This window comes from Homo sapiens, chromosome 5, assembly GCF_000001405.40.
Source record: "Homo sapiens chromosome 5, GRCh38.p14 Primary Assembly".
NCBI classification, from domain to species: domain Eukaryota; kingdom Metazoa; phylum Chordata; class Mammalia; order Primates; family Hominidae; genus Homo; species Homo sapiens.
The window spans coordinates 136,129,191-136,142,105 of record NC_000005.10 but is presented as its reverse complement, the minus strand read 5'-3'; the positions used below and the strand labels follow the sequence as shown (position 1 = coordinate 136,142,105).

The window sequence follows — 12,915 nt, the reverse complement described above, 5'->3', positions numbered from 1 at the left end:
TACATATGCTCAATAAATATTTGTTTAATGAAAGAAAGGGTTTGTGATATTAGCTCTGGTGGTGGGGTTAGGTGTACTTTTCACTTTCTGCTTCATCTAATTCTATATTTTTTAAAATAAACATATTTCTTGAAGAGTCAGAGGAAAAACAGGTTTCAAAATTAAAGTGCAGCTATACCTCAGCCATATTATGAACCCTTACTAAAGAGAGGATTTACATTATCATGAGTCATTCCTGCTTCAAAACAATTCTCTCTAATATACTTGGGGTTATACAAATTTGGAGGTTGAAACTAAGAAAAATCAAATCAGAAACTAGGTACAAATACTTCCATAACTATAGTACTCTAGGTTAATCAACAGAAATACAGAAATGATTATCATAAGGTACACCTACTTCTTTAAGTATATGTGCATTAACTGACTCAGCAGCTATAACAGCCATGAATCATTAAACACTTATTGAGCACCTACTAACTAGCAGACATTGTAGGACATGCAGGGGTTTATCAGCACTAGCCAAGGGTGAAGGAATAAATGAGAAGGCCTTTTTCTAAGTCCCATACAAAGGTACTATATGAGTGAAGAGTGGGAATAGCAAAAATGCAAACGGGACAGAATCTCCCTTCACAGAATAACGTAGCACGACAGACACCAAACTATACCCCTATATGTAAGTACAATGAGATAAACTCAAGTTACTAGAGGAACACAGAGAGACAGAGAAAGGGCATGTAATCCAGGTATCTAGCACTTTTCACAGTGTGTCCTGTTACTACAAATGAGCTGTTGCTCCTCAAAACAATGAAATCAAACTCCAGAAGCATTATTCCTGCTCCCAATAAATATTAGTAAGAACTCATTCTTCAAAAGCATTTATCTTCCTATACTGGAATGTCTTTTGAACCTCAGATATTACAAATGCCATTTTCTGCTTATACCACTTTTCTTAATCCCTGGCCACTAATTTTTAGCTCTATCGTTATTTAAGTCTCAGCTTTAGCTCTCATCCCAGATACCTTCCCTGATCACCCCATAATCCTATATAGAGTTTCCCTAATCTCTAATCCAATACTATGTTCATTTTCTTCACTGTATTAACTGATTCATAATAATTTGTTCATTTACTTTATTTCTGTCTCTCGCACTAGAATATAATCTTTAAAAAACAGTACCACATACATTACAATAACTTGTCAAATTCATTCAAGTCATTCATCCAAAAGAATATTTATTAAGATAGCATTTTAGGAGCTGGGAATATAGAAGTGAATAAAAGGAACCAAAACACTTGTCTTCATTTAGCTTATATTCCAGCAGAAGGAGGCCAACGAGATATAGTAAATGATATGTTTGTTAGGTGAAAAGTGCTATAGAGAAAAATTAAAACAGGGGAAGGTGGACAAGAAGTCCTGGAAGAGAGGTGTAATTTTAAACAGGGTGGCTGGGCTGGGTCTCACCAAGAAGGTGCCAACTGAGTTAAAATGTTAAGGAAATAAAAGAGTGAGCCAACAGGCATATATCTAGGGGAAAACCATTACAGGTAAAGGCAACAGGCAATGCAAAGATCCTAAGGTAGGAGCATGTCTGGCATGCTTCTGGCATGAAGAGCATATACTGGCTAGAAGACCAGTATAGCCTGAGAACACAGTGTACGAGGGGGAAAAGGTAAGGAGTGGGGTCAAAGAGATACCAGAGAGCCAGAATGGCCATGCTGGATATAAAGGCTTTAGCTTTTACAGTACTCTAAGGAAACTGTGAACTCAGTGGAGAGCTCTGAGCACAGACATGATAGTTCTCGACTTACACTATTAAAGAATTATCCTGGGCCGAGGTGGGCAAATTACCTGAGGTCAGGAGTTCAAGACCAGCCTGGCGAACATGGTGAAACCCCGTCTCTACGAAAAATACAAAAATTAGCTGGGTGTGGTGGCATGTGCCTGTAATTCCAGCTACTTGGGAGGCTGAGGAAGGAGAATTGCTTGAGCCCGGGAGGCAGAGGTTGCAGTGAGCCAAGATCATACCACTGCACTCTAGCCTGGCCAACAAAGCTAGACTTCATCTCAAAAAAAAAAAAAAAAAGAGTTATCCTGGGCCAGGCGTGGTGGCTCATGCCTGTAATCCCAGTACTTTGGAAGGCCAAGGCAGGAGAATCACTTGAGCTCAGCGGTTCAAGCCTAGCCTGGGCAACATAGTTTTTAAAACTCCATCTCTACAAAAAAAAATTGTTTTTAATTAAAAAATTAGCCAGGTGCAGTGGCACATGCCTGTGATCCCATCTACTTAGGAGGCTGAGGTGGGAGGATCACTTGAGCCCAAGAGGTCAAGGTAGCAGTGAGCCAAGATCATGCCACTGCACTCCAGCCTGGGTGACAGCACAAGACTCCGTCTCAAAATAAATAAATAAATCCTGGCTGGTATGTTGAGAATAAGCAGGAGGAGGGGTGGACAGCAATGATAAAAGCAGCGAGACCAGTTCAGAGATGCAGTAATCTAAGGGAGGGGAGAAGATGACGATGGCTTACAACCAGGGTGATAGCAGTGGGGTGGTGAGCAGCAGACATATGAAAGACAGTAAGCTTCCTGATGAAGGAGATCATGGGGTGTATGAGAACAAAGGAGTTAACAATGATTCCAAGGTATCAGCCTGGACAACTGGAAGAATGGGGTTTGACATCAACTGATTTGGCAAATGCAGATAAGAAAGCTAAAGGAAGATTCAGGGTTAAGTTTTATACACATTAACCATATGAATAAAATGTTGCTAAGCTTCACAAAGCTTCTATTTCAAATGAATTCATGTTGAATCAATAACCCAAAGGTCCTGTTCTTACCTAAGGTTATGGAAGTACTACATCCTGACCAACTTTCATAATAAACACACACACAAACTGACTTCAATACCCACCCCGAGACACACATACATACAGAAAAACATACAGAAAGACACACACACACACACACACACACACACACAGAGCTCACAGCTAGATTTCTAAAGTGAATTCACAGAAACAACTCTTTCACTTTGTGCTCCAACATCTCTATGACTGCTGCAATCTGAAATAAAAAGGCAAGCAAACCAATCCCCACATTTTCCTCAACACTATTGGCCAAAACAAAATCTCCTGAGCACATCATCCCATGAAAATAAATGCCCATAATGGGTCACAACCCATTGTATTCTAATTCAAACCTGTACAAAATAATTGGACATGGGGTTTTTAAATCAACAAATTCCTTAGAACCATCCCTCAAAATTCAGATTCACTAAGCTTGGCAGAAGGGCCTTACTGCCCACATTTTTAACAAGAATCTCGGACCATGCAGGAGGCTTGGGAACCAAGGTGCTCAGGATCTCCTGCAATGGAAGAAAGACACTTGCATACATACAACCTAAGGGTAACTTTTGGGGGCAGGGGGGATGTGGGGGTAAAGCTTTAAAAATCTCTTACCCTTGTGGTTCTCATTATCAATAGTAGTCACCAAGTGTCAGCAAGTAGACAACCACCACCACCACTGTCAAACCATCCCTAGATCCATGTATACAACTGCTATCAACTTTGTAAGCCACATTCACAACTGCACGCAGAGAGGAGAAGGAAACCAAAAGCATGTTTGCTCACAGCTCTTCTAGATTCAGAAATCCTATTCTTTATAAGAACATCTACAAGAAAGACAGGATACAATTACATGGGCGCCAAAATTATTTTCACAGAGAAACATTTAAATCACCACTTTCCTCAACTGTGGCTCCCGATTTCCAAAGACATAAGAAGTTCTCATAGCAGATTTCAAAGCCCTTCAGGAGCTGAACTCATGATTCCCAACACTTCTCACTGCATAATCTTCTTGCCTATTCTGTGCCCACAGAATTCTCTACTTTATTATCTCCCACAGCCAGACTTTTGTTTCCCAGTTTTTAATCACTCTTTAAGCTTCACCTGCTCCTCTAAGTCCCCTAATTAAACAGAGCCTGATCTAAATGTATCACTCACCCCCACAGAGCCTGCAAGATTTCCTACATTGCTACCAGATGTGTTTGAGTATGCTTGTACAGGCGTGTAGGCACAGGAACAGACACAGAGCTGGTCAATCTTTGTAGTGATTCCTTTAAATTATAAAATCATCAAGTGCAGATACCAAATCATGACTGTAAAATGTGTCTCTGGAGCACAAAGAGCTAACCTGTGTACACGACATATATTACAGTGCATTATGAAGATGTTCTCCAGAGAACTCATGTGCACCCAGAGTTCAAGTTCCCTGCTTAGTAGAAAAGGGAATAAACATGACTCTGGGTAACTTTTCAGCTCTAGTGTCATCATTCACTTAATTTACACTTTCATCTCCAAAGAATGAGAAATGGTCAATGAGTAAAGTAGACAGAAGATGTGACTAAGAAGAAAACAGAAGAAGACTGGCTTTTAAATATTTTTGCAGAACCCCCCTCTTCCTGGGAACACACAAACCAGAATAACTAGAACTCAAGTTGTACAGCCTACCAGATAGGATACTAGGCAGATCCTAACACATCATGAAAACAAACCTGAACAAAACAAAACTTGCCTTGAAAGCACCAGCCATATTCTGAGATCATAGTTAAATTTGAAAGATGTAAGCCTCCTCCCAAGACTCCAGTTGCTATGCTCAGAGAAAAAGTGGGAATGGGACACTAGTTTTTTTCTATTATTTTCGGTATAACAAAACAACATATATGGATATCAAAAGAAAAAATCCTGCTAAAATCTTAACAGGTCAAATCACTTTCAAACTTCTATATTGTACCAGTCTATAAAGTACATATATGCTATAGGAAGAGATGCGGGGGGGGGTCCCAAAAAATTCAAGAGCAAAACCTAGTTACAAAATGTTATGTTAATAACTAGCTTCCAAAAGTGAATTACAATTATAGTATTGCACACACAGAACTGACTTAATAAAGAACTCTTTCTTGCAAAATATCATCTCAACCAAGGTAGGATACAGTAAAAGGAGGAAGAAAAGTCACTGAAAACACCACTCTACTAGAACTGGGCCAAAAACATCCCCCCTAGCTGCCCAAGGCAAAAAAAAAAAAAAAAAAAATCAAAACTAAATAAAGAGCCCAGCCAGGCACGGTGGCTCACACCTGTAATCCCAGCACTTTGGGAGGCCATAGCGGGCAGATCACTTGAGGTCAGAAGTTCGAGACCAGCCTGGCCAACGAGGTGAAACTCCATCTCTATTAAAAATTCAAAAAATGAGCTGGACGTGGTGGTGGGTGCCTGTAATCCCAGCTACTCAGGAGGCTGAGGCAGGAGAATCGCTTGAAGCCGGGAGGCAGAATTGCAGTGAGTCAAGATCGCGTCACTGAACCCCAGCCTGGGCGACAGAGAGAGACACTCTCAAATAAATAGCCCAGAACTAGCTGATTATTTATGAAAAACCTAAGAACTCTGTAATTACCCCATCTTTCCAGGTTGGAAAACAACAAAGCTGTTAGAATATTAAGGTGGCCTATGAGATTAGTCCTAACAACAATCTAGTTTTTAACAATTCTTCCAAAAGAGTTCTAAATCTTTACCTCCCATTTAGTAAACAAACTTCTCAGATTCAGACTTCTGATTAGAGGTAAAGGGTATGTGACAACACCAATGAACTGCAAATTCCAATGACTATTATTCTATTAACTTCAGAAGTGGAAAAACAAGGTATGTTAAGAGTTCAAGACCAGCCTGGCGAACATGGTGAAACACCGTCTCTACTAAAAATACAAAAATTAGCCGGGTATGGTGGTGGGTGCCTGTAATCCCAGCTACTTGGGAGGCTGAGGCAGGAGAATTGCTTCAACCCGGGAGGCGGAGGTTGCAGTGAGCCAAGATTGCGCCACTGGACTCCAGATTGGGCGACAGAGCTAGAACCCAGTGGCGGGGGGATGCCATGGGTCAGCTTCCAAGGGTCCTTCATCATCTGTTTTGATGGGAAAGCACCCTATATTGCATCCCAGCTTCCTTGGGCCTTTTCTTTTCTCTAGAATATTCTTTTCTCTAGAATATCCAGGTATTCTTTTCTCTAGAATATCCAGACTGGTGGAGACAAGAATCATTCCTCAGGCTACTAGTATCCCTTATAAAAGGGAATCTTACTCAATGTCTTTGACCCTATGAGAAGACGGGCAAATCATAGGCTATAAGCTGCTTGTAACATTTGAAGAAATAAACTATTTGCCTTCTTTGTGGTTAGTGTACAGAGAGACAGAGAGACAGACAGACAGATACAAGGAATATAGATCGTCTAGAAGTAAAAACAGGGAAGACTGATAAACCAAGAGAATAGACACCTATATCCTCAAGCGTACTCAAGTCAGCTCTGAAATTCACCCAGATGTGTGGCTCATTGCCTAGACCAACATATACATCTGGTAATAATAAACACTGATATGTCATAAACAAAAAGAGTTTCTTTAACTCTACAAAGTACTAGTAATATTAAAATTTACATAAAGACAAAGAATATATATGAAATAGATTTTTTTAGATGGTATTTCAACTTAAGTAACTGTATTAAGAAATGAAAAACTGGTATTTTACTGCCTAGTTTTCAAAACACTAAAATCTTTAATTTGACCAAGTTACAAATCTGTTTTCAGTAGAGGGAGAAAACACACTGCCTCCGTTCAATGCAAAGGACAAAAAAGATCATCACTGCAAATCATAATGTTTGGGTTCATGATGAAAACAGGAAACAGACAGGCTGCCCAGGTATAATTATGGTTGTAATCTAATGTGCCTTCAGGTTCAGCCAAGAATTAAAACCCAGTGAAGAGGGTAAGCAGAATTTACTTGCCTCTACTTTGCTGCAGAATGCAACTTTTAATAATACTCCCAGCAACATGTTACATAACCAACAGTAAACAACAATCTGATTCAAACCTCATTAGTAACAACATTCTGCCACTGTCTCCCACTGAAATTAATAGCTGACTTTGCCAGAGGGGAAAGAAATCCAACACATTATCAATCTACCCATTTCTGTGGCGCCTACCACAGTGAACCAGACACGCAGATAATACTACCAGATCTGTACAGAACCTACGAAAATATTTTATTCTTTTTTTCCAGTTTGCTGCTCTCTTCCTCCTTTTAACTAGACCATATCATGTGGATGCCTTTAAAACCTGAGAGTAAAGTCAGTTGAGAAGGTTAATCTAACTTTTCTTGCTTATTTCAGCTATGATCTGAAAGGAATGGAAGCACAAAATGATGAATAAGGTATTTTTAACAAAGATACATGGGTAAATTAACAGCAGTAATGTAAAAAAGACTGAGGGAGCAACAATGTGGAAAGGGAAGGAAAGGAAGCTGTATAGGAACAATCACACAAATAATCATCAAAATTAAACTTTATAAATCTAAACATAGTATCTACAACCTTTATGAAGGTTAAGTTTTGTTAAATTGTCTAAGTTTTGCATTTTTACAATTTTCACTGTAGAGAAAAAAATATTAATAGTTACCAAAGGAATAAAAGACTAAAATAATTTGTTATACATCTGCAAATAGCTCCTTAAATTTGGAACACTAATTTCATAATGATATTTGGATCCATAAATGTGAAACTGTCACACTGAATGTAGGTACTGTTTTCCCCACAATGGATACTACTGCATTGGCATCTAGCAGAAATTGTAAGCTATTTGGAATGTTACTAAACCTACTGGGACTAAGGTTTTCAATCTTTTGTCTTTCAAATTAAAATTAAAAACTAATTCACTCTGGGCAATTCAGGTACTCTAAGGAAATTCAAGTACTCTAGTTTTAAATACGAATTTTCAAAAACGCAACCCAAGTACCCTTTCCTCTCAACTTCTGTGAGGCCAAGCCACGACCTCCACCTATTCAATCTTTGCTGCTAGATAACAACCCTTTTGGTAGTGCTAGGCAACAGGCATGATGTGACAAACCTAGACATCAAAACTTTTCCACAGAAAGATAAGGTAAACAAGATATACTTAGCGCCACACCCATTTAAATGCACAAGCAACCAAAATTGCTCCCTCCCCCCGCAACACCCCCCCCCCCCCCCCAAAGCTCCAGCTGGTCAGGAAACATTGTCTTTACAATCAAGATAAACATCTGGCTCAGGGTGTTCAGCCATTCCTCACCTACAGGCTTGCCTAAGCCCCATTCTCCAATGCCATCACCACCAGAACCGGAACATTCTGTTGGGAAGCCGGCAAACGTCCAAATACCCCAAGTATCCTCGCCCGAGTTCTGCAACCAAAAATCTGTTTTGGCTACTGAGCATGCTCAGACTTAAGACGGGCGCGCCACATGGGAGTTTTCAAAGCTTAGGCTCCAAACTCCACGTAGTAACAGCAGCTGAAAGGAGGAGAGGGGAAAAGGGGAGGGGAAGAGACTGGAATATTAATTTGAGCCCTGATATTGAAGTATAGGACCCGGCCAGCGGCTGAATATGGTGAAGGCAAAAAGACGCTGCTTTGGCATTCTCTTTGCAGCACAGAGAAGTTTACATGAAGTAGAAGAAATCCTTGCAGTGGTGAAAACTGACATGGCAAGTGGCAGAAACCAGGTCTAACTACCAGCTGATTGCAGTAGCCGGTCACAACTGCCCAGAGTGTAATTCCCACCGATAAGCGCGGATCCTTATCTTTGAAACACAAAGCGACGGCGGCACGGATTCATCAAGCCATTGGACAGCTTCGCAGTGCAGCAGCCCAGGCTGCCCGGCCGAGCACCGCAGTCCTATCAAGGGTGTGTATCCAGGGTGGTACATCCGATGAGTTAGGAAAGCAAACCGCTCCCCAGGACAGCGCGGGGTCAGGGGGTCCCCTCCAGGGCGTCCCAGACGCCTCCCTCCAAAGTCTGGGCGGTAACAGCGGGGCTGGGACGAGGGCCAGCCCCGGCCCCGCCTCAGGACGCCCCGGGCAGCCAGCGAGGCCTCCGCAGCCGCTGGGCCGCACCGTGTCCGCCAGCCGGGACCCCGGCAGGCCAGGACTCGGCCTACCTCCCGCCCGACAGGCCCTGGGTCGTTTCCGCTCCGTCCGCGGCCGAACGCCCCCGCCTCGGCCCGAGTCCGCCGGGGCAGAGCCTGCAGCCCCCAGTTCCCCTCGCCCGCGCGCGCCGGGGACCCTCACTCACTCGCGAGCCGGCTAGGCGCGCTCTCCCGACGCCGTCGCTGCGCTTCTCCTCGCTGCAACTTTATTAGCAGCTCGGCCGCGGGACACGCGCACGGCGCCCGCTCGCCCAGGACCCGGATGAGGGAGGGAGGGAGAGGGAGCCCGGGAGGACGCCCGCTGGGGTCGGCGCATGCGCGCCAGAGGCGGAGTGACCGCTGCGGGACCGAGGGAGGGGTGTCTTGCCCGGGCGGCTGAAAGAAGCCTCCGCGCCGGGCTCCGCGCCGGCCAACGCCGACTTCCGATCAGCTGGAGGCCTTCGCGTCGATGGCCAGGCCTGGGAATGGGAATCAGATAGCTCCCACCACCACCACAGTAGGCGCTAGAAGCTTCCACTAACCAAATCAGTATACATTGTAATAAAATTAAGTAATTGTCCTTGACACAGACAACTGGAGGTTTTCTGTCACATACAAAGTGTAAACAAAAACATCTTCAGATACGACTTAGCTACTTTTATTGATCTGTAATACAAATCTGAATGAAGAGTCTTCTTTCTGTGCAAAGTAGCTTCAAAACATGTTTCTGAGCATCTTACAGCTTCTTACTAGATGCAGCACTAAAACCCCTCCCACGGGGCAATCCTGGAACCCTTGAGGGCCTGTGGAAATGGAGCGAGTGCCCACCCTGGAGTTCCAGGAGTGGGACTGCCCATACACTGGATCGCAACCCCAGTTGTTCAAGACACATAGCCTCTCCACCTCCTTGTGGGGAGGGAGATCCCGTGGGGACCCAGCCCCTGGACAGGCGGGGCCACTGAGTTGCAGAGACACCATCCATAGGCTTATATACACCACCCCATCTCCTGGACTCTCTTTTCTAAGTAATTGGAGCTCTTCTCGATGCTTTTTCCTCCAAATTTCCAAAACCGTCAGTATTTCCTAGAATATAATATTGGTACCACATAGGGTACCCGATTTGAATAGTACTAGTAAGAAAAAGCTTTTGAATAATTTTGTTTTTATTTGAAAAGGTCAATACTGGCTCTCCAATGTTCTATTATAGGTTTTCTTTTTAAAATAAGTAAAAATCAAAATCGGGGTCATTTTGGAATGCTCTTTGACACCCTAATCCAATCCATCAGAAATTCTACTGACTCTTTCTTCAAAATTTATCCTAAATCTGACCATTTCTCACACCTCAATTGCCACCTCCATGGCCCGAGCCAGGGTCATCTCATCTGACACACAAATGGCGCAGCCACTATTTTGCTCCAGGCTCTAGAAGTTTATTTCTGTGGAGAAGAAACTAAATAAATGTCCAGAAGTCTCTGCATTAGGGGTGGCCATCTGAAATGGTGACAGAGGGCTAGTAAAGGAGTGAAGGGGAAGTGGGGGAAGAGACCAGAGAGTGAGTGTCTAGTTCCAGAGACCAAAGGGGTCACTGCTATTTCATTCCAGCCAACTGTTACCATAGGGAAATGTGGGAATAAGGACCCAGTGTTGGCAGATATTCTGATTTTTCAAGCAAAGCTGGAAATTTAGATTTTTATGTGAAAATCTCAATTATATCTGTTTAGCAACTTCTTTCTATTTTTCTCTCTCTTTGCCTGTCTCCTGCCCGCCCCCCACCCCGCTCCCTTCCTCTCACTCTGTTAGACATTCTGGAGGCCAACTACATGCAAGCCAAACAAAACAAATCCATGGTCCCGATTTAGCCTACTGGCCACCAGTTTGCAATTTCAGGTCTCCATCTTAAACTTCTTTACTACATCATAAACTTTGAGAAAGTAAAGTCTGTGTACTTTAACTCTTTGTCACACTCACTGATTATTTGTTGTTAATTCAGAAGTTTCCAGCCCTTGGAAGGCAAATATTTCTGGAGCCTGCATGGGTTTACAACTCCCAGAAGTGCATATAATCCTGCCTTGGAGGATACGTTTTTTTTTTTTCCAGAACTGATGTTTGCAGAGTGCTTTGTTGAACATTATAGGACATAACAATTTGGTTTAAATATTTTGTATAGTAGAGATACTCCTCACTTCAAACAGCCAATAAAATCCTTCCCAAAACAAATTATTTGCTGTTTTGCAGTCACTGTACATACGTCAGAAGAATTTGTGATTACAAGATTCCTTTTCATAATCACATATGTAATCTCATAGCCAACAGTTTTGCTTCCTAAGTTATGTGTCCACATACTGATCAAATCAGCCAGCAACTCCAGCCTCTCCAACTTGCTATTTGAGCTCAGTTTAGGTCTAAAGTTGGAAGAGATAACATAGAAGAGAGGAATGGAGATTTTAGTACCACACCAGCAGCCTTCCGAAGGTCTAAGAAATTACCTAGACCTCAAAGACTATGGAAAATCAGAGGGATCACTAAATATCTATACAGTCAAAAACATTATAAAACAGCAAATGAACAGGAATCCCAGAACCATAAGAATGAAGTAAGGAAGTCCCTGTTTTTGGCAATCAAATGGGATCTAAGAACAAATGTAGAACAGGATGATCTGAACAGATAGACATAGTCAGTGGGGCATCAAAATAGACAAACTGCTTTTTTCATTTAGCCATTCACCTGATCAAGAAGACCAGATAAAAGCAACTCCAATACTCAATTTTACTTTACTTGTAGAGAAACCTATTTCTGGACAATTTAGTCCTATAATTCTCAACCAGGGGTGACTGCACCCCCAGGAAACATTTGGCAATGTTTAAAGATGTTCTCGGTTGTCACAACTAGGAGGGCGGTGCTACTAGCATCTAGGCGTTGCAGGTCAGAGACACTGCTGAACATGCTACAATGCACAGAACAGCCTCCTTCTACCAAAAATTAGTCAACCCAAAATATCAGTTGTGCTGTGGTTGAGAAACCCTGATTTAAATCCCAAATAGTTTTTCTTGGGTTGGGTTGATGTTTACAGAAGAAATGATCCTTTCCTTTGAATTTTTTCAATAATCATTTATATTATCAATTTCATGTAGAGAATTAGCCTAAATGTTTAGCCCATGACCTACTCCCTCCTTGAGTTTTTCAGGTCTAAGAAGGAGGCAACTTTCAGGAAAGGTGAGACAATATATGGAAGATGAAGAACTGGAATAATTTAGAAACATTTCTGTATTTTTTAATTTTAAAATGTCTAGTAATTGAGGCAAATTGTTTTTGGTTTGAAAATCATTAATAAATATCTTAATTTTGTAGTTTGCTGTAGCTCAGAAGGCTCTGCCTACATGACTACTGCATACCCTACTGGGAGAATTGGAAGAATGTGATGATGGTAGGAGTCACCCAGCATAGAAGCATGAGTGAATGACATCCCAGAGATCTGCAAAGGATCCTGGTAGCCACTTCAAAGACTTTTTCTCCCTTCCTCAGACAATCATGGCACATGGACATCAGAGGAAGAAATGGCGAAGTTTGTATGACTCCTCCAGCAGAGTCCTTGGAAACAATAAAGCTTCCTTTCCAAATTCTGAGAATTCTGTGTTATTCTTTAATTGGCAGACTGCCCACTGCACCCAATTCTTAATATTGGAAACAGTGCAGAAGCCAGAACTCAACTGAGGAGTTCTGAGATGAGTGAGGTTCCAAGGAAATGATGTGCAGAGGCGCACCCCACAATCCAGTAAGAAAAAGCTCATCATGTTTGTCAGAAGAGATTTCATGTCAGTCTTTAACAGAATGAGCAAACCTTCCATGCTGACCAGAGAATATGCAAAAGTAATTTTATCCAATATTTGAAAGGAGTTTTTTCCAGTAAAATTTTGGTGTTCTGGTGTGAAATGCTTCCCT

At 42.1% G+C, this 12,915-nt stretch overlaps 1 protein-coding gene and 1 long non-coding RNA gene across 7 annotated transcripts in view, besides 3 other annotated features; one reads left to right on the top strand and one right to left on the bottom strand.

Moving 5' to 3' along the window:
* The window catches only part of SMAD5 (SMAD family member 5), a 49,889-nt gene extending 40,628 nt beyond the window's left edge, over positions 1-9,261 (bottom strand). For 3 of the 6 annotated variants that reach the window (NM_001001419.3, NM_005903.7, NM_001001420.3), the window contains exon 1: positions 9,144-9,261. The gene's annotated coding sequence lies outside the window, so the exon portion shown is untranslated. Of the gene's footprint in view, positions 1-8,146 lie in introns of all 6 variants that reach the window. The other 3 variants (XM_024446047.2, XM_024446046.2, XM_017009470.3) reach the window with 3 other exon arrangements.
* Positions 7,216-12,593, top strand: SMAD5-AS1 (SMAD5 antisense RNA 1). Its single transcript, NR_026763.1, has 2 exons — positions 7,216-8,756; positions 12,325-12,593. It is a non-coding gene; the product is annotated as an SMAD5 antisense RNA 1 (long non-coding RNA).
* Positions 8,908-9,547: a silencer, noted in NCBI's record as "silent region_16379". NCBI's record gives its function as "represses an Ori minimal core promoter by ATAC-STARR-seq in GM12878 lymphoblastoid cells {active_cell/tissue: GM12878}" and the evidence as "EXISTENCE:reporter gene assay evidence [ECO:0000049][PMID:35858748]".
* Positions 9,858-9,907: an enhancer, noted in NCBI's record as "active region_23179". NCBI's record gives its function as "activates an Ori minimal core promoter by ATAC-STARR-seq in GM12878 lymphoblastoid cells {active_cell/tissue: GM12878}" and the evidence as "EXISTENCE:reporter gene assay evidence [ECO:0000049][PMID:35858748]".
* Positions 9,938-9,997: an enhancer, noted in NCBI's record as "active region_23178". NCBI's record gives its function as "activates an Ori minimal core promoter by ATAC-STARR-seq in GM12878 lymphoblastoid cells {active_cell/tissue: GM12878}" and the evidence as "EXISTENCE:reporter gene assay evidence [ECO:0000049][PMID:35858748]".